Consider the following 20,729-nt stretch of genomic DNA (forward strand, 5'->3'; position numbering starts at 1 on the left):
CTCAGCATAGTGACCCTGTCTCTACAAAAAATTTAAAAATTAGCCAGGTATAGTTGCATGCATCTGAGGTTTTAGTTACTTGGGAGGCTGAGGCAGGATGATCGCTTGAGCTGAGGAGGTCCAGGCTACGGTAAGCTGAGATTGCACCACTGCACTCCAGCCTAGGTGACAGAGTGAGACTCTGTCTCAAAAAAAAAAAAAAATCACTCACTGTTCCTGCATAATAACTTTTAATCAAAAATCTGTTCCAACCCCCCAGCCCCATCCCCCCCACCAAATATATACACAAACCTGATTTAGAGCTGGTTTAAGTGGCTGGCTTTTGCTCTGTGTCAATGTGCCACGCCTGTGTATGTACCTGAGCAGTTAGGATGCATAGCAGAGTTTCAGTTTATATGTGCAGGCTCTCAGGTAAAAGGGAGAATTCTGGAAGAATCTGCAGGGAATACTAGAAACGTGTTGGCAATACTTTATAAGAGAGAGTAAAAATGAATTTATCTTTTGAAATGGGAGCAAAGCTACCTATTTTTCCAGATATATACGTCCTTTTACAAGTCGTCCTTTTTAGAGCAATTGACTTCTTTGGTTTGAAATTATTTACCCAGATGGCTGCCTAACGAGAATTTGAGATTAGGTCAAATCATTTGTAGGACTATTTTGATTAATGTTCTTTGATTTCTAAATCAAATGTACCAGACCAAACACTTTCAAAGAGAGGAATTAATATCCACAAAATATTATTTCATATGCTTTTGCTCTAGGTTTTTCCACAGCTTTCAGCCCTGTCTCATTTCACCTTAGGAGGTAGAGAAAAATAACTAACACATCAATAATTAGTTTAGACCTGAAAACACTCTGCTGCACAGCTGTAATGTTTCACAATGGTTTCTGAGCTAAGAGGTGTTTATGTAGCATCAACTTTATCGAAACAAAACCCTAGGTAAAAACACATTGAAATGGCACTTAAAACAACAACAGTGCCCAAAATCTGTTGTTTCATTACACTTGAGTATAAGGCAAATCTGGAAGTTAAATTGTCCCATATTGAGAATAACTGAATAAATGTTTACATAATTGCTCCCACTTTTGCTGAATCTTTTGGTTTGATCAGGTTTAGAGCAGAGAGGTAAAAAATACATTTATTAAAAGAGAGCTTTTGAGATTGAATGCTCTAATTAACTGCTAATTACTTCTCTAACTAGGCTATTTTAGATTAAAAACCTAACTGTCTCAATTCTAGTGGATTTTGAGGTTGTGATGAAGAGCAGAGCCGATATTCAGTGGGACCACAGGATCAAGCACTGCCTGTGTTACTCAGTATTTCTCTGCTCAGAGACAGAACCAATTATAATATTTAGCAGATTTTTTTTATTGGAAAGTCTTAAAAATTGATCAGTTTTAAAATAGATGCACACAAACTACCTTGAGCTTTACTTTCTGATGAAAACAATCTATACTATATGATAAAGAACAGATAGATATGGAATGCTGGTTCAAGCTGACAAAATATGCACTTTTGTTGTCTTAGATCTAGTGAGGAAATTGATTCATGTTTGGTATGACTATCTTCACAAGGAATTGCTTATAAAGAGGTAGGGCCTAACTCATTTATATAAATCGAGGTAAAGGAATACCAGGAGTAAATCTAGGAAAATTAATTTTTCTGTTTTTAGGTGCTTCTAATACTGGGAAACCCTATTGGTTTCAAAGGGAACTTCTAGGTGAGACCATTTTTAGAGAACTTGTATTCCAGCAAGCAATTTTTTATGGAGCAGAGGAAGCATTTTTAATTATTATATATTCTAACCATATTATATAGCAATCAGATAAATTTAAAGTTATAGTCTGTTGATTAATAAATTCATGGTGGGTTGGCTATAATAGCAATTTTGCTTCAGTATCTAAGACAAAATTTGAATGATTTGAGAATGCATGATTTACCTCATAATGTGACACCCTTTTAATCAAAACACCCGAAGGCCAAATAATTAGATCTTGTATAAAACTTGGAAAGAAAACACCGTTGTATACCCCTACCCACCATTGAAATCTGTTTTTAGTTAATAAGGAAGTGGGAGTAAAATATTTGAGTGAGCCTATATATAGGCTCTCATGTATTAAAAGAAAAGCTATTTACAACTGATTTGTTGCTAAATAAAATCTTGGATGAACACTTTTAATTACTAAAAAGGTAAGGTTACAATAAACACAGGAAATATAAATGAATAAAGTGTGCACAGAGTCATGCTGCTTTCAGGACTATAAATAGCACCTCCATCTCTGCTACTATTATTAGCAAGTATGAACAAAAGAAGATGTCCAGAAATAGAAAGGGGAAGAGCATCTCCATGAGCCTTGTATTCCATGGCATAGGAAATGTTTCTAGCAAGCCCGTGAATTTAGAGGGTTAATTGATTTTTAGAAAGGACATTTCCATGCTGTCAATTTGCCAAGGAAATTCTTTTACCAGCATGTTTGTAAAATTGGCAGGCTGATGTTTCCTCTAGGTGACACAAGATGTGATGAAGAATTTTATCTTTACTTCCTTACGAAAATCAGCGTTGATTGCTTGCCTTTTTGTTAACTTATTTGGTTACTATTAGTTTGCATCTACAGAGGATCAGTTAACATAGTTGAAACTGGAAGAACTAGTGCATCGTGAACAGCCCTGAACCAAAAGTCAGGTTTCAGTTTCACCTGAGCCACTAATGTGCTCTATGACTTTGGTCAAAGCATTTACATACATATATATATATATATATATATATATTCCCCTTTATATATATATATATATATATATTCCCCTTTATATATATATATATATTCCCCTTTATATATATATATATATTCCCCTTTATATATATATGCGCACACATACTGCTGTCCCTTGATATCTGTGGGGGATTGGTTTCAGGACCTTCCACAGATATTAACATCTGAGAATGTTCAAGTCTCTGGTATAAAAATGGCACAGTATTTACATATAACCTCCCATGTACTTTAAATCATCTTAAAATTATAATACCTAAGAGAGTATAAGTAGTTGTTACACTGTATTGTTTAGGGAATAATGACAAAAAAGTCTGTACATGTTTAGTACAGACACAATTTGTTTTCCCCAAATACTTTTGATCCATGGTTGAATCCACGGATGTAGAAGATACAGAATCACAGATACGTAGGCCCCACTGAAACACACACACACACACCACACACACACACATATGCACACACATCTTCTCTGAGCCACAGTTTCTTGATTAATTAATATAGCAAACATATATGGAGCGCCTCAATATGCCAGGCACATTGCTAAGCAGCAGGGATACGAAGTCGGTTAAGATACCCAGTCCTTGCTTACTAGCCTCGCACTGCTGGGAGACAGACTTTTGAACCTGTAATTAGAATGGGCAATGGGTGTATAACAGAGACGATAGCTGTTATAAGAACACAGGGCAGAGCTTTTCTGTCTGTGGAGGGGGCACCAGGGAAAACTTTGCAGAGATGGTGCCATTTGAATCAACTCAATCTTAAAGAATTCCTCTTGAATTTTTCTTCAAGACTGATTTGGATGAAAATGGCTATACTTGGTCCTCGTGAGGAATCAATGACATAATAAAAGTATGCTAAAAAGCATAAAAAACAATATAAATAGTCTATTAGTAATGAAATGATTCATGGGCATGAATATTACAGATCTAGTTCTAATTTTTGATTGCCTGTTTATTAATGTTTTTTTCTTTTTGATAATGAATTATGAGTGCAGTTATTTGAGAACTGATTGTAAGACTGTAGTTAAAAGTGGGAGAGGCCAGGCACAGTGGCTCACACCTGAAATCCTAGCACTTTGGGAGGCTGAGGTGGGAGGATTCAAGACCAACATAGCAAGACCCTGTCTTTAATCTAAAAGAAAAGAAAAAAAAAAGAAAAAAAAACAAGAAAGAGAGAAAGAAAGAAGAAAAAGGGCCGGGTGCGGTGGGTCACGTCTGTAATCCCAGCACTTTGGGAGGCCGAGGCGGGCAGATCACAAGGTCAGGAGATCGAGACCATCCTTGCTAACACAGTGAAACTCCGTCTCTACTAAAAATACAAAAAATTAGCCAGGTTTGGTGGCGGGTGCCTGTAGTCCCAGCTACTCGGGAAGCTGAGGCAGGAGAATGGCGGGAACCCAGGAGGTGGAGCCTGCAGTGAGCCGAGATCACACCACTGCACTCCAGTCTGGGCGACAGGGCGAGAGTCCATCTCAAAAAAAAAAAAAAAAAAAACACGAGAGAAACACAAATCTCAAACACTTTAATTTTTTTTTTTTAAATCACTATGGACTGGAATTAAAAAAAAAACTTCTCCAAATATGGATATATTTTCCCATAAGTAGTCATGATAGACTGAATGATTATTTTTTAAATAGTTACATTTTTAGGGGTTTACACGTGAAATTATGAAGATATGGAATTTAGTAATAATTCTTTTTAAAAACATGTATTACTTATTTATAAACTATATGTGTATTCTGGTGAAAGATTGTCCTCTAGGAAAAATAAGTCTTAGAATTATTTCTCTCCAGTAGGAATTTATTATTGTCCTATCTTCAGCCAGACAGCTCTGTGGTAATTTCATTTGGTGATCTCTTTAATAAATATTTTTTGGAGTGCCTATTTTGTGTGATGCCAAATGAAGTAAACAGTGTTTTATGTAATATGTTCCAATATATATTTTTTAGAATGAACCATTTACCAAGTATACATAAGTCAGACATTGACTGCATATCCCACTGAACATTTCCATTAATATAAGTGGAAAAAGGAAAGCCGCTTTGCAAAAAAAGGAGGCTTTTTTGCTTCAGCAATATGCAAATTAATTTGAAGCATGCCAGTAGTTTTAATATAGGTTGATTCAGAATTACCATTGTGAATAACATTCACTTCTATTACTGCTTTTGTTAAAACTAAGCGCCAAAAAAGGAAGCCTCTTTGCTTCAGCAATATGCAAATTAATTTGGAGCATGCAAATAGTTGCAGCATGCAAGTAGTTTAGAATTAGACTTTCATTAAAACTAAGTGCCACACAGAGAAGAGGTGTAAAACAGAGTAGTAATCTGTTGCGTGCACTTGAAGGGTTCTTGAAAGACGTGCATAAACCGTTACCGTTGTAGCACAAGTTGAGCAGCAAAAGCCAAAGTCGCACATCTGTGTCTTGTCGCCACCTCTCCACTTATCCACTCATGCTGGCTTTTCTCCCAGCAGCTCTTTGCCCTCCTCCTTTTAACACTGTGGGCTGAGGTGAGGATGTTCTAGTCAAGAGTCTTTACGAGCCTTATATCGCCAGGCTTTCAGAAAATGTGAAGCATGGTAGTGTGAATTTAGAAAAAATAAAAGTGTGTATAAAAGCTCTTCTGTTTTCTTTTCTTTTTTTTTTGTTAAGAAACAATAGTGTTTATTTATCATGTTTTGCTTAGAATTCCTTTGGTATTCTGTTCTCTTGATTTTAACAAGAAGCTAAACTCAATAACATCTTTTAAAAACAAAACAATTTTCGGTTGAGGGTGGGTGAGGAAGTTATATGAAGATTGAGTGGGAACCTCAACCCAAGGACATAATAGACAAGAAACAGTTTTTTTCCTCCCCTTTCTTCAGAAGTAGTCTTCCGCATGGTTTAATGTGCTAACATAACCCCGGTTCCAATATTTCAAAAGATACAGAACTTCCCAGCATGATGATAAAGTTTTCCTGTGTTCCAATAATAAAACCTCAACGTACCAGTGATTTCCAGTTCCTTTGTGGCTCAGCAACTTGTGAAGACCAACTAAGTCCTAAGTACCCAGCCTGCAGTATCAGTGTGGGAGTCGGAAACAGATGTTCACGGGACAATGCCATTTGTTGTCACTGTCGATACTATGTGGCAACTTTCCCAAATGAAATTGTTTGTGGATGGAAAAGAATGTAAGCAGTGATTCATGCCCAGGAATTTTTTTTTTTTTTTGTCTGCAGGCTAACCGTATCTTATTTGTTTTAAATCGCAGAGCATTAGTGGATTAAAAATTTTAGGTTAACTTACTATTATAGTATCTTTTTCATTTTTTGTCCTGTACTTCTAAAAGGAGTGACTAATTTAGGTAGCTTACTGAGAATAGTAAATACCTTACTTGATTTGAGAATTCAAAAGCAGCTGACATCTTTTCAGATTTAGTGTTTTAACTATTGAGTAGGTACAGAGTTGCCATTTAAATGAACAGCATGACTTGCTTAGCATTTTTGTTAATAATTTGGAGGTTTGGAGAATTCAAAATAAACATTAAGTAGAAACATATTTTTTGGTAATAGGTGGCATTGCATGATCTTGGTTTGAGATTTTCATAAATATTACAAAGGAACTTCCACTAACTCACTCACTGTTAGAGATAATAGATTAATTTGTATAAATTAAATATTAATTATAGAGAAGTTTAAAATGTACTTAAAATGAATTTGATACAACAAAGCTACTTAAAAGTTAGGTAGACCATGTCATGTGACATGTATACAAACTATCCTTTTTCAAGAAAAAACCTAACAAGCGTTTAAGGCATAATATCTACTACTTTAGTGCCGTTTTTATAAAACATAAATTTTAATCTACAAATGAAAGTCTTTTAAACATTTATTCATACCAACAGATGCCTAAGGCCAGAATTATAAAATGTTTTATGTTGTTTTAAAAACATATGTATTTCTCATAATTAGGTTTCGGCATCACAGAAAAATTATTTTAAGGGTCATACAACAAAATCTGACTTTTAAACAACAGCCAAAGGAAAGATTGGTATCACATGTAGAGGAAGAGGTCCTTAATTAAGAAGCAAATTCCGGAGTTTCAGTAACTCATTTTCACTAGCTAATGTTTAATAAATTGTATTAGGTTAGTGCAAAATTAATTGCGGTTTTTGCCATTAAAACCACAATTAGGTTGGGCTGGGTGGCTCAAGCCTGTAATCCCAGCACATTGGGAGGCCAAGGCAGGTGGATCACCTAAGGTCAGGAGTTCAAGACCAGCCTGGCCAACATAGTGAAACCTCGTCTCTGCTAAAAATACAAAAATTAGCCAGGCATGGTGGTGGGTGCCTGTAATCCCAGCTACTCGGGAGGCTGAGGCAGGAGAATCGCTTGAACCTGGGAGGCGGAGGTTGCAGTGAGCCAAGATAGTGCTACTGCACTCCAGCCTGGGTGACAGAGCAAGACTTGGTCTCAAACAGAAACAAAAACAAACAAACTGGCAATTAATTTTGCATCAACTTAGTAGTTGTGTGGTTCCGTCTTCCTCGGACTTCTTTTTCTCATTTGCAAGATGGTACGTCAGTCTGGATGACCTTTAGGGCTCTCGCAGTTTTTGATTCTAGTTTAGGGCTTTGACTTCTGTTCTCTAGCAGTCACTGTTAACATTATTTGAGTATCTGATGATAGCTTGTACTAATTTTCCCAGAAAAATGCATAAAACAGAAATTTTGCATGCAATCCCAGGGCTTCATGGACTCATTGAAGCCTAGTGATAGTCCCAGGTAAAGAAGCTAGTTAAAGAAAGTTAGTATCCTCACGTTTCTGTGAAGATTCAAGCAAGCATTTCAAATTGCTCCAAACGTGGGCATCAGAACTTTCTGATTATTAAACAAAGTTGATTGTTTTTATTTTCTAACATATCTACGTTAGAAATTTGGCATTGATACCAGCACACTTGGAGAAGGCAAAAACACATGAGTTGGTCCACTAAAGACTTCAATAGCACTTGGAAAGAGATACTCGTGTGTGTTATGTATGGCATGTCAAGGGAAGTTACCTACATCCCAGCTACCTTGCTTTAGAACAGGAAAGGAATGAACTAAGGTGCACTTGCCTGTCTCAACCAGTGAATCAAGACTGATTGTTTGTAGTTATTTTAATTTATGAAAAATTCAAAATTTAATGCTACAGAAAAGACAATGGGCCTAGGGAGGACTATGTTAAAGTCTTGTTCATTTTCTAGACCCAACAGAGAATACTTGAATGCACAGAACAACTGAGGAAAATCATACTTTAAGTAACAAATACAAACTAGAAATTAATTCTTTCATAATTAAGACTATTTCAACTATTAATTTTCTTCCAATATACCCCTCTACTTTTTTTAGCCATTTATGGGTCATTCTACATTTTCTTAAGTTCTAATATGATCTGGAGAATGTCTTGGACTTCTTTAAAGTAACTTCATGCATGTGCTCTCATTAGATCCTTTATTTACTACCTTACTTTAATGTTATACATAATACATAATAAACATGTGAAATTCATTTTAATGAATAGTGTAAGCCTCAAAAAATTTACTTAACCACTTCTTTGACCTAGCAAATTTATAAGCGATAGTAAAACTTTCCTTTTACCTTTACAATAATAGCTTTTAAGTACTCAGGCTGACAAATTCTTCATGGACTCACTTTTATGTTTTTCAATTTCTATTAATTTCTCTGTATTAAAGTTGAATTAGATGGATTTATGTTGCCTATTCCTGGCATTCATAGCAACTATAAGGCATGATCAAGAAAACAGAAATTCTAATCCTCATGTTACAGAAATGGCCCCAATTCTACTTGACAGAAATGATTTCAATTAGGGAGTCTCTGGGCTACCTTTTCTGTTTCACCAGAACAAATGTTATTGATATAAGGGGAAATCCTTGGATACCATATAACCTGCTCACTCTATGGAGCAGAGTTACTTAGAGTGCTCCGAATCCCATCTTTGATCTCTGGCGATATTTTTCTCTGTTATGTCACTGAGGTCACCTGGCTCATGTGTGACAAACTGCCTGCATAAGTCACAGTGCCAGTGGCAGAGATTTGTAACCATGCCCCTGGTCCATTGCCTTTGAATTATTTCACAGGCCCGCTGCTTTACATTTACACTCTGTCGGAAGATGAACAGGGGAAGGGAGTAAAATCAAGGGCAGGGTCTCATCCTGAAGGACAAGGGGAAACAGGTGGAAGGTTAATGGCCCTGGAGCGATTCCACAAGCCTCTCAGGCTTGATATATGGGCCTGGGGCCTAAAACGGGCATTGGCTTTCAAAGATATATTATTTCATTTGAGGAGAGACATTCTGGAGTTCCTGCATTTGTCTGCTGATAGATGATCCTCTGTCCACAATTGGTTATGGCGTGTGAGTTTTCCTTGGGCCTGCTCCCATACATAAAAATTTTGCTGAGCTCTCCAACCTTTTGCATGCCTTTAGGAATGGGACCGGTGCAAGCCCACTGGCAGGCTGTTGGATTTTTTTGCTGCTATTTTAGTAGTTCCTTTTGAACCGTGAGGCAAGTGGGGAATGAAAGACACTTCTGTTCATTCATACATGACTTGATAAGGGTGGCCTTGTTATAAAAAAAAAAAATGGTGAAAGGGATGTTAGGAATCAAACATATGTGTCATTTTGGGAAGACAGGCTCAGTCCAAAATTTAGTCATTTGGGTTTCAAAAAGTTGCTTACATAAAAGCTAGATACTATCAAATAGCTTTTGACTTTATTACTGTTTTGCACTCCCCAGGCTTTTAGCAAATGGCTTACTCTATTTTTCTTTATTATTTCCAAAAAGTTTGAGGTGATTTGGAGAAAGAAGGAGAACAGACAGTTGGAAAAAGGTGCTTTACACAGAGATCCATGATTAATTTGCCTAACAAGAACCATCAGGCAATGCTACCAAGAAATATGTCTAATGGCTCAAATGTTACAATCAAATAGAACTGGTCACTAGATTAATGGAACCAGTCACCCGAATTAACCTTGTGTGGCCTCTCAAAGTTGTACTATAGAGTCTAAGACTGCAAAAATCATTTGCCTCAGCCTCTTAATGTTCATAGACTTAATATTCATGAAAATATTTGGATTCTAATATGCTTTGATTTATAGTATTTTGAAATTTAATTATTAACTCTGGTTTGAGATATATATATATAAAATCTTTGATTTTATAGTTCCTGGTAATTGTGATACTAGCTTTGTCAGAGAGAGAATGCTTATTTTATGGCAAGCATTAAGGAAAAATGAGCTCTGTAAACTCACTATCTAAACAAAAGGCGATTTTTCTTTCCAGCTCTTTTGTGTTCCATTACCCTTGTGTTTGGTGAATTCTCACACCACTGTATGAAATATCAAAATCCTATTTGTGGACATTTTATCTCGAATAGCTTTGTCAAAAACAAATTCTTCACCTGGAGAAACTTTCCATTATCATCACAGATACACTGGCATTTAACTACAAGAAGTTAATATTGGACAAATGATCAGATAATATCTGAGTATCAATAGGAATTTCATTCTTGGATGAGAGGCAACAAATTGCAAATACTTTTCACATATATTTACAAGGGATCCTTATCACAATCCCTATTCATATTGCCCTCAGTAGAAACATGCAGCATCTGGCCATTGGCCCCTGTTAATAATGATTACACAGATGTCCTTTTCTTTTCCTCTGGAATATTGCAAAGTAGAGGTTAGACCAGAAGCAAGAAGACTGGAGAGGCATGTTTAGTACCTGCAAGAAGATATTTAATAACTTTCTTAGAGGAAAGATTCAGAATCACCAGTTACATTGAGTTGAATGAGGAGCATTAGCCGTCAAAAGAATCTGTTTTTCCACTTGTTGCTTGGATAAATGGATAAAAGCCTGCCAAGGACTTCAGTCCACCAGCTGAGGGTACCATAGCTAAAATACTCCCAACAGAAGGGCAGGTCCCAAACCACACAGGCATGCTTTTCAATCACAGAATAAAATGTAGTTGTTTTCGTCATTTCAGCTTGTGACCTAAATGCCTCATTTTCATGTTTGAAAAGTTACCAACTTTATTTCAGTCCTATTTCCCTTCCTCTGTGGTATTTCCCAGTCAGTAGACCACAGTCCTGTGGGTTATATCAATGCCTAAAGCAGAGATCAAATCAAAGCATACCACATAACTGGTTAAAATGAAAGCTCATTCCGAATTAGTAAATAATGCCCGCCTGTCTTCCACATCTGTCAAAGTCTCCCAGCTCAGATGGACACCTCCATAAGCTGATCCATAGGAAGCCAAATACTTGCAAACAGCCTCTTAATTGCTCATTTGCAGTTGGACAAAATGCTAAATGCAGAAAGACTTCAAAGGCAATGGAATCTGCATTGAAAACAGGATCTCAATACACATAGTCGCTTATTGTTGCAAAATTAGAATAACAAATGTTCCCAGCATGAAGCCAACATAAACTTGCCTGAGTATTATTCAACCTGAAACATAGTCTACCTTTTTTTTTTTTTTAACAGCAATAGAAGAGGCATACTTAGCACTCTGTTTGTTATTCTATACTGTTCATTTTAATGATATATTTAGGTCTCCCTGACACTTTGTATTTTTACGTGTAATTACCCATATTAAAAAAAAAACACCACTCATTAGTGTTCTGTTCTACTGACTTAATTATGCCCCTTAATTAAATCTCAGCTAACAGGGGGTCACCGCAGTGTCAGTGGGATTTGTCACTGTTTGTCAGCAGGTGTCTGGTTGCATCTATTTCTGGTTTTCGTATGGTTTGAATCTATTTAAGAACTTGCTACAACCCCGTCCTCCCCTCCACACCAACCCCAAATGCCAGAGACAGCATTCTCATTGGAGGGAAGAAGCAGTATCTATTTGACAGGCAACTGCTTCCCAAAAGCTTGTTTGTAAGAGGAAATTTTTGTTTTCATTACTCTAGAAAAAATCTCCTGATTAGGGGAAAGATGCTTAAAACAGACTTGGATAAAACAGATGCACTATTTAAAAGATGAATAGGTTTACATTCTAAAAATTATGATCATATTTTTGTATACAATTCTAAAAGTTCCTTGAAGAACAAAAAATATATTTTGTTGCTGCTGTTATGAGAAGAACATCACATTAGGTGTTTTGCATCATCTGGCCATTGGTGTCTTTGTACAGAGTACTTTGTATCAATTATTTGGTTCACGTTTTTCATTTTAAGAATATAAAACAAATTACAAACATATGAGTCAAACCGAAAAAAATGTCTTTTGTGTGACTAATGTAGGGTCAATAGGAATTTAATTCTTGAATGAGAGGCAACAAATTACAAATACTTATTATTTGGAATGAGTCTTAGTATTAAGACTTATATGTCTTCACATTTCACATTAGAATGTTTTAAACTCATGATTTTAGTATATTAATTAAGGGAGATATAATTCCCATGTTTCTGTATATAATAGGCATCTAATGTTGATCTGAATAATTGATTAGTCCAGTCAGGCTTTTATAATTAGTTGTCAGCTTTTCAGTGTAAAGCCCTCAAAACACCTGCTGTGCATCTACAAAGGTCTTACATATTTATTAGTGTTTTTAACCTAAAAAGGCATGCAACCTACCTGAAAAGCATTTAATTTTTTTTCTGGAACTAAGATGACCCTTCCAACATATACCCTAAGAAACTAAGGCTATATGTCTCTGAGTTTTTCAGTCTAGAAGATTTTGGACTGAAATTCTGATTTTTAAAAATCATAACACTTATCTTTATTTAAAGATAAAAATGTCACAGTTTTTCTATGGAAGTTTTTCAGAACTCATATTTCTAATAGTAAGGTTAAGCAAGACAATGGGTTACAGATATCAAACTATCAACAATGTAAAGTAGTTTTGAGACTTCACTGTCATTATTGTATAAGCAATTTTATTTTTCTGGGTTTACCTACAAATGTGGTAGTCACAGAAGAAGAAAAATAATTTAAAGAAAAATTTATAATACTCAGCTTATTTATTTCTGAAATTCAAATCAATTCATTTCATCCTAAAAAGTTAACTCCAACTGGCTTTTCTTAAGTAACAAATGTCATCATTTGCTGTCCAAGTAATTTTCAATACAATGCTCATTTGATGTTGCCTCTAAAGTTCTTATCACACAAGTAATAAGTAATCCATACATTACATATATGTGTACATTTTAAAAACCATTTCAAATGGTGAGATAAGAATTTTTATGCATTTTATGGATTCCTGTACAGCCTCCTCATTGTCATTAGATAATGAAAGGCTTCGCCATGTGTGTATCGTAAAGACCTACTAAGCAATATGAACTCTCCAGATTGCTTTACATTTACACAGTTGAAGTATATATATATACAGTATTGTACAGTATTGTACAGCAATATTGTATAGCAATGTACAGTATTGCTGGGCACAGTGGCTCATGCCTGTAACTCCAACACTTTGGGAGGCTGAGGCAGGTGGATCACCTGAGGCCGGGAGTTCAAGACCAGCATGACAAACATGGAGAAACCCCGTCTCTACTAAAATACAACATTAGCCGGGCATGGTGGCTCATGCCTGTAATCCCAGCTACTTGGGAGGCTGAGGCAGGAGAATCGCTTGAACCTGGGAGGTGGAGGTTGCAGTGAGCTGAGATTACACCATTGCATTCCAGCCTGGGCAACAAGAGCGAAACTCCATCTCAAAATAATAATAATAATAATAATAATAATAATAATAATAATAAAGTACAGTTTAAATACCATAGGGTAGGTCAGATATTCTTAAGATTCCTTCTTTCATTCAGTAAATACTTATCAAGTATTAGTCGTATGCCAGGTAACATTATAGGACTTAGAGATTCAACATGAAGAGCATAGACAAAAATCCCTGCTTTTGAGGATCATATTTATATCTATTTTAGTGACTAAGAGCATTTATTTAAGACAATTGCACTCATGTAATTAAAAAGCACTTATAATCTGGCAAGCTAGCCTAATCTTAGCAATGGAATGTTTCTGCTCTCTTTCTGTTTAAGCCTTCAGGAGATCATACCAGTTTTCCCAACTGGCATATGGTGAGTTCAAGTACATTTCCCACATATGCTCAGGGATTATCTTAATTGTATTCCTTTCTGAAGCTTGGAATCAAGGGAAAAAAAGAACAATAATGATTTAGGGAAAAATAATAGTTTTTTAAAGGTAGATTTATAGTTAGTAACTTTATATAGGTGAACTGATCACAGAGAAGGGTGTAAATCATCTGAATAAACAATGGATTTTCACACTTACTAGAATCTCTAAGAATAATATTTTCCATATTACAGCTAAATGAGACCCATTATGTATGCTTTCAGATAAACTCACAAAGCTCTTACCCATGTAAATCTCATAGATCTGCCATTATTCGTAATGAATAACAAGTTTTATCATGCATTTTCATTAAAAATGCATTAATCCCTTTGTAGTAACCTCTCCCTAATTCATTGATTCGATAATACAAGAACAGTAAACATTTCTGGCATAACAAAAATGTGGTATCAAAGCATACTGTATCCATAAATACAAAATGTAACAGGAAAACAAATACATTTATCAAAGGAGGATCAGGTTTTCCAGCCACTAAATAATGCTATGGTCGAATACTGCTACAGTCTAATACATTAAGAACTCAATCATAGTGCCGCATTGTGAGCCGTTTGTACCGGATCTGATTCTTCCAGATTAAATGACTTGTTGAAACTTGAAGATGAAAGACAGGCAGAAGTATCCGGGGCTCTACCCTCAGGAGGCTCCAGGGTGGGTTACTGCCAGTGGGGGACTAATGCTTCCGTCTAGTGGAGATAGGAGGAGGAGGATCAGAAGTGACATGTATGTACCCTTTTTTACTTGTAGATTATTTACTTAGCTCGTTTTAGGCTCTGTGTCCTCATCTGTAAAACATGGCATTACCTCTTTCAGGTATTTTACTGGGGATTAAATGACTTAACACAAATTAAGTCCTTGGTAGATAGTATATATTCAAGAAAAGTCAATTTCCTCCTTCCTTTATTGATGCTTAAAAGCCCCTGGTGCTGTATTTGATTGATTCAACAAATACTTGGGCTTGGCACAAGGCACTGGCTATACAGTTACTTCCCTCTTATCATCACCATAGAAGCCTCCTGATGTGGAAATTAGGCAGGCCTTGGAGTCACACTTGGCTTCAAATCCCCTTCCATTTGCTTCCCATAAGCTCAGCATGTAACTTCACTGTCCTTCTCTAAAAATAGGGGTAATGTATAACTTACGTGGTTATCTAAAAAATTAAATATTTGTAGAGTGCAGTGTGCTAGAATATCTGGATACAGAGAGATGGATTAGAGATGGTGTCTAGAGCACAACAGAATGAAGACCTATCTCAAAAAAAAAAAAAAAGAAAAGAAAGAAAGAAATGGTCTCTACCCTTAAAGAGGGGGATACACATGTACAAAACTGTGAATCCCAATGCGATTTTTGTGGGGAATGTGTTCGAATGCTGTTCCTGAACATATATCTCAGCATTTCCAAAACAAAAATTACATTTCAGAAACTCAGTAGATAAGAAACATCTGCAAAAGACCGACACAATTTATCTTCAAACTAACAAATGTGTTGATCTATGTGCATTTGATATCTCTATACTTATATAGGATGCTAGGAGACAATTGTTTTAAGTCTGTGTGGTGCTCATTTTCTTTGCGCCTAATGTAAGAGCTGTTTGGTCCATAGTCACCTCTGTCCATTCTAGAATAGAGGGTGGTGAGATGGGGGGTGGTGTTTTTACTCGTGAGTCGTTTGGAGATTATCAGGCTAACTACGTGATAAAAGATGCTGAAACACTGGTTTGAGTTAGGGTGGAGAAAATGTGACCAACTCCCAGAGTCCAGTATGATTCACTTACTGTTGTTAAGACTTTCTGCCTTCCTTTAATTACTATGTCAAACAAGCCTTATTTATGCCAAACAATTAAGTCTATTATTAATGGAGAGGTAAGAGGGTGGGGAGAGAATGAGTTCCGGAAACTTTTTTTTTTTATTTTGAGAGGGAGTTTTGCTCTTGTTGCCCAGGCTGGAGTGCAGTGGCACAATCTCAGCTCACCGCAACCTCTGCCTCCTGGGTTCAAGCTATTCTCCTGCCTCAGCTTCCCGAGTAGCTGGGATTACAGGCATGCGCCACCATACCCAGCTAATTTTGTATTTTTATTAGAGACGGGGTTTCTCCATGTTGGTCAGGCTGGTCTTGAACTGCCAACCTCAGGTGATCCTCCCACCTCAGCACTCCAAAGTGCTGGGATTGCAGGCATGAGCCATTGCGCCGGCCTGACTTCTGGAAACTTTTTTAGAAATAAAAGACTCAGCTAATAGACTACGATATGTTGAGTGCAGTGATAGAAGTTCCCTAAGGAGAGTAAAATCTCAACAAATGTGAGTCCTCTTTTTCTCTGCAATCCTGACCTGTGCTAAAATTGGGGACAAGGCCGGGCAAGGTGGCTCACGCCTCTAATTCCAGCACTTTGGGCGGCCAAGGCGGCTAGATCAACTGAGGTACGGAGTTCAAGACTAGCCTGACCTACATGGTGAAACCCCTTCTCTACTAAAAATACAAAAATTAGCTGGGAATGGTGACACATGCCTGTAATCCCAGCTACTCAGGAGGCTGAGGCAGGAAAATCACTTGAACCTGGGAGGTGGAGGTTGCCATGAGCCGAGATGGTGCCACTGCACTCCAGCCTGGGATATAGAATGAGACTCCTCAAAAATAAAAATAAAAAATTGGGGACAATATCGGGTAGACAAATTTTAGTTTCTAAAGTAGCTGAAGGGTCTTTGTTCAGGTGGTTTCTGCCTTTCAGCTTTGACCTTTATCTGCCTTGTTGCAGCCCATGCATACTCTTCCTCTTCCAATATTCATACATCCACAAATGTCCCTCTCCCTTCAACACATACACCCTTCTTCACCAACACACACACACACACACACACACACCCTTCCTCTTAAAGCTTATTCTCAAGAAAGGTTTAAGTTTGTCCTTTCAGTTCAATAGCCATCTTTCCTCATGGAGTTTGTCAGGTCCCTTCTTTTGTAATTCTCCTACTTGTACTCTCCATCCACTTTATTTCCCTTTTTTTTTGAGACGGAGTCTCACTCTGTCTCCCATGCTGGAGTACGGTGGTGTGATCTTGGCTCACTGCAACCTCCGCCTCCTGGGTTCAGGCCATTCTCCTGCCTCAGCCTCCTAAGTAGCTGGGACTACAGGCACGCACCACCACACCTGGCTAATTTTTTTGTATTTTCAGTAGAGACAGAGTTTCACCGTGTTAGCTAGGATGGTCGCGATCTCTTGACCTCGTGATCTGCCTGCCTCGGCCTCTCAAAGTGCTGGGATTACAGGAGTGAGCCACCGCGCCCGGCTTTATTTCCCTTTTATCTGTTCTTTCATCCCTTAGTCACATTTTATTTTTTTTATTTTTATTTTTATATATTTTTTGAGATAGAGTCTTGCTCTGTCTCCCAGGCTGGAGTGCAATGGTGTGATCTCGGATCACTGCAACCTCCGCCTCCTGGGTTCAAGCAATTCTCCCACCTCAGCCTCCTGAGTAGCTGGGACTACAGGCACCCACCATCATGCTCAGCTAATTTTTATATTTTTGAAGAGATGGAGTTTCACCATGTTGGCCAGGCCAGTCTTGAACTCCTGATCGTAGGTGATCTGCCCACCTGGGCCTCACAAAATGCTGGGATTACACGTATGAACCACCATGCCCGGCCCCTTGCTAACATTTTAATTTTGTTTGTTTATTGTAATTAGAGATGGAGTCTCACGTGTGGCCCAGGCTGGTCTTGAACTCCTAGCCTCAAGCAGTCCTCCCACATTGGTTTCCCAAAGTGTTGGCATTAGAGGCGTGAGCCATGGTGCCCAGCCCCTTGTTTTTTTTTGTTGTTGTTGTTTTTGTTTTTGTTTTTTTATTGAAACAATAAAAAACTCCTCTCCATCTCATCCCACTTGCTCTTGTTGCCCAGGCTGGAGTGCAGTCGCGCGATCCTGGCTCACTGCAACCTCCACCTCCCGGGTTCAAGTGATTCTCCTGCCTCCGCCTCCTGAGTAGCTGGGATTACAGGCATGTGCCACCACGCCCAGTTAATTTTGTATTTTTAGTAGTGACAGGGTTTCTCCATGTTGCTCAGGCTGGTCTTGAACTCCCGACCTCAGGTGATCTGCCCACGTCGGCCTCCCAAAGTGCTGGGATTACAGGCGTGAGCCACCATGCCTGACCGCCCAGCCCCTTGTTATTTAAATCTTTCCTCTTCCACTGGCTCTCATCAGTCCACATGAATGTGCAAAGCTCCCCTCCTGAAAATAGAACACCACATTACATGGGTCTCCCTGTCTGTCACCGTCCTACCTTTTCTCATCATGACACCTTTGCCCTTTTCTCCACCTCTTCTTTTTGGTGTTAACACAGCCAATACTGTAGGACTGCAGTGCTAAAGCCGGGCAGCAAGCTCACTGCATTTGCACTTCTCCATGGGAAATGCCTCTTGTGAATCTTAAACATCATCAAGGAGCTTAGCCACATCTTCTCAGCCCTCATCCTCTCTCCCCATTTTAATCCTTGGCCATCCTTGAAATTCCTTCTGGCCCAGACTTCTTGGTCACTACTCAGTACTCCTCTCTGAGTGCACCTTGCTAGGTTTCTTCACTAGCTCCTCTCCCTCTACCCAATCTTAAACAATATTTTTTTCTAGTTTTCTCTTATTGGTTTCCTTACTTTCTCATCCACACATTCTTAGTGATTTCTCCCACAAACACAATTATGCCATACTTTCTCTCGCAAACTCCACAGCAGCATCGTGAATTGCTTGCTGAAACATAAATGATCATCACCTCCAATAAGCCTCATTTAGTTCTGCAACTTTGGGTTTTGTTTTGTTTTGTTTGTTTTGTTTTTTGAGACAGAGTCTTGCACTGTCACCCAGGCTGGAGTGCAGTGGCACCATCTCGGCTCACTGCAACCTCCACCTCCTGAGTTCAAGAGATTCTCATGTTACAGCCTCCCGAGTAGAGACTGGGTTTCGCCACTTTGGGCAGACTGGTCTCGAACTCCTGTCCTCAAGTGATCCGCCTCAGCCTCCCAAAATGCTGGGATTACAAGCATGAGCCACCACACCTGGCCTGCAACTTTGTACAACTTTCTTTCTTTCTTTTGAGAAGGAATCACACTCTGTCGCCCAGGATGGAGTGCAGTGGCACCACCTCGGCTCACTGCAGCCTGCGCCCCCAGGTTCAAGCTACTCTTGTGCCTCAGCCTCCTGAGTAGCTGAGACTATAGGCGTGTGCCACCAAGCCCAGCTACTTCTTGTATTTTTAGTAGAGATGGGGTTTTGCCATGTTGCCCAGGCTGGTCTTGAACTCCTGGGCTCAAGGGATCCATCCTCCTCAGCCTCCCAAAGTGCTGGGATTACAGGCGTGAGCCACTGCACCTGGCCCTGTTTCTTTCTTGCACTGTCAAACAACACATTCTCTGCAGTTATTATCCTGGGTTGTCTGGTTTGATCATATCACTCACAACTTTCTATTGCATATGCAGAAAAAATTAGAATTCCTCAACCAGGTATCTCATCATCACTGTCTTCCTCTCCATCTCGTCTCACCTGCCAAACTCAAAGCCATTGATTTGACTAGTCTAAATGTAGGCCTGGACGTATTTGACATGGGGACTATTTGAAATGGGGACTATTTGAAATGGGGACTATCTGGCAAAATCTGGGATGGGATGTAAGATGATCGCAATTGCACACTCACTCCTAGCCTGGTTTCTGTTAGTTATATGTCTACCCCCTCAACTCTTTCCAACCTCTTTCTTGTCACTGTTTCCTCTCACAAACTCTAGCACAGAGTTTTGAATTTGGTAGTTACACCACAAAATTTTTAACTTGTCAGAAATTCATTTATGATTATATGCAAATGACTTGTGTTGATTTAAAGCAGTAGTTCCCACACCTTTTGGTCTCAGGACGCTTTGCACTTCTGAAAATGAGGACTATGGAGACCTTTAGTTTATATAATGTATTGGGAGTTAAAAACAGAGATATGGTTACAAATCAAGCATCCACAAATACACATTCCATTTGTCACCAGAGTGATGATGTCATTACATCCTGTAGCCTCTGCACACTCCTGACAAGTGGAGGGTGAAAAGGGCAAATAACATCTTGGTGTAATTGGAAAAATAGTTGTAACCTCTTGACTCCCTGGACCATACTCGTAAAGCCACTGATTTAAATATTATCACTCCTATGGGTGTCTACTCTTTCATTGGGATTAAAGATTGATGCCAAATGAATACATTTTCCAACCTTGAATTTTCAAATCAGTAAGTAAGATCAGGGACATCCAGGGGAACAAAAACCCTTCTCAGTGTCCTGGGATTTCTCTCCCAGTGGCTGTGAGACTGTACTCCTGGAGGTAGGGGGCATCAGTGAGACCAGGGCCAGTTTGAGGACAGCACAGATGTCTCTAGGTAACTGACAAACAGACACAGGTTTCCCTGAGTGTCAGCCTCTGCCCCCTCCCTAACACACACTCACATTCACGTACACAATAAATCACCCTGGAGTGCGATGGAAATTCCAAGAACTTCAGCATTGTCTTAACCTGTGTTCTGGTGCCATCCTGAGCCTTGACCACATTGACTGGCTTTTAAAGTAGGTGCCATTGCATTCATTCTTCTGAGATCAATATCCCTCTGGGTCTCCCCAGCAGCTATGGTCTTTCTGCTTGGCCCCAAGACAATTAAGAGAATTAATGGGGAGACCATGTCCAAATAAAAGACTGGAGTTATTGCTTTAACGTGCAGCAACTCCAGTATTTGCATTAAATTATTATTTGCTTTGTAATATTTGATCAAGCTAGGGTTAGGGACTAGACTGACTTTTAT

At 38.4% G+C, this 20,729-nt stretch overlaps 1 protein-coding gene across 9 annotated transcripts in view, besides 3 other annotated features; it reads left to right on the forward strand.

Annotated features, from left to right (window-relative positions):
* The window catches only part of NR5A2 (nuclear receptor subfamily 5 group A member 2), a 149,706-nt gene that overhangs the window by 42,782 nt on the left and 86,195 nt on the right, over nucleotides 1-20,729 (forward strand). The window lies entirely within an intron of this gene.
* Nucleotides 2,025-2,598: an enhancer, noted in NCBI's record as "heart enhancer 1". NCBI's record gives its function as "activates a minimal c-fos promoter by transgenic reporter assays in zebrafish embryonic heart {active_cell/tissue: heart(embryonic)}" and the evidence as "EXISTENCE:transgenic organism evidence [ECO:0001131][PMID:20075146]".
* Nucleotides 10,307-10,993: an enhancer, noted in NCBI's record as "OCT4-NANOG-H3K27ac hESC enhancer chr1:200049926-200050612 (GRCh37/hg19 assembly coordinates)". NCBI's record gives its function as "activates a minimal SCP1, AML or CMV promoter by ChIP-STARR-seq in naive H9 embryonic stem cells {active_cell/tissue: H9 hESC(naive)}" and the evidence as "EXISTENCE:reporter gene assay evidence [ECO:0000049][PMID:30033119]".
* Nucleotides 10,994-11,679: an enhancer, noted in NCBI's record as "OCT4-NANOG-H3K27ac hESC enhancer chr1:200050613-200051298 (GRCh37/hg19 assembly coordinates)". NCBI's record gives its function as "activates a minimal SCP1, AML or CMV promoter by ChIP-STARR-seq in naive H9 embryonic stem cells {active_cell/tissue: H9 hESC(naive)}" and the evidence as "EXISTENCE:reporter gene assay evidence [ECO:0000049][PMID:30033119]".

The sequence above is a fragment of the Homo sapiens genome, chromosome 1 (genome assembly GCF_000001405.40).
Source record: "Homo sapiens chromosome 1, GRCh38.p14 Primary Assembly".
Taxonomy (NCBI): domain Eukaryota; kingdom Metazoa; phylum Chordata; class Mammalia; order Primates; family Hominidae; genus Homo; species Homo sapiens.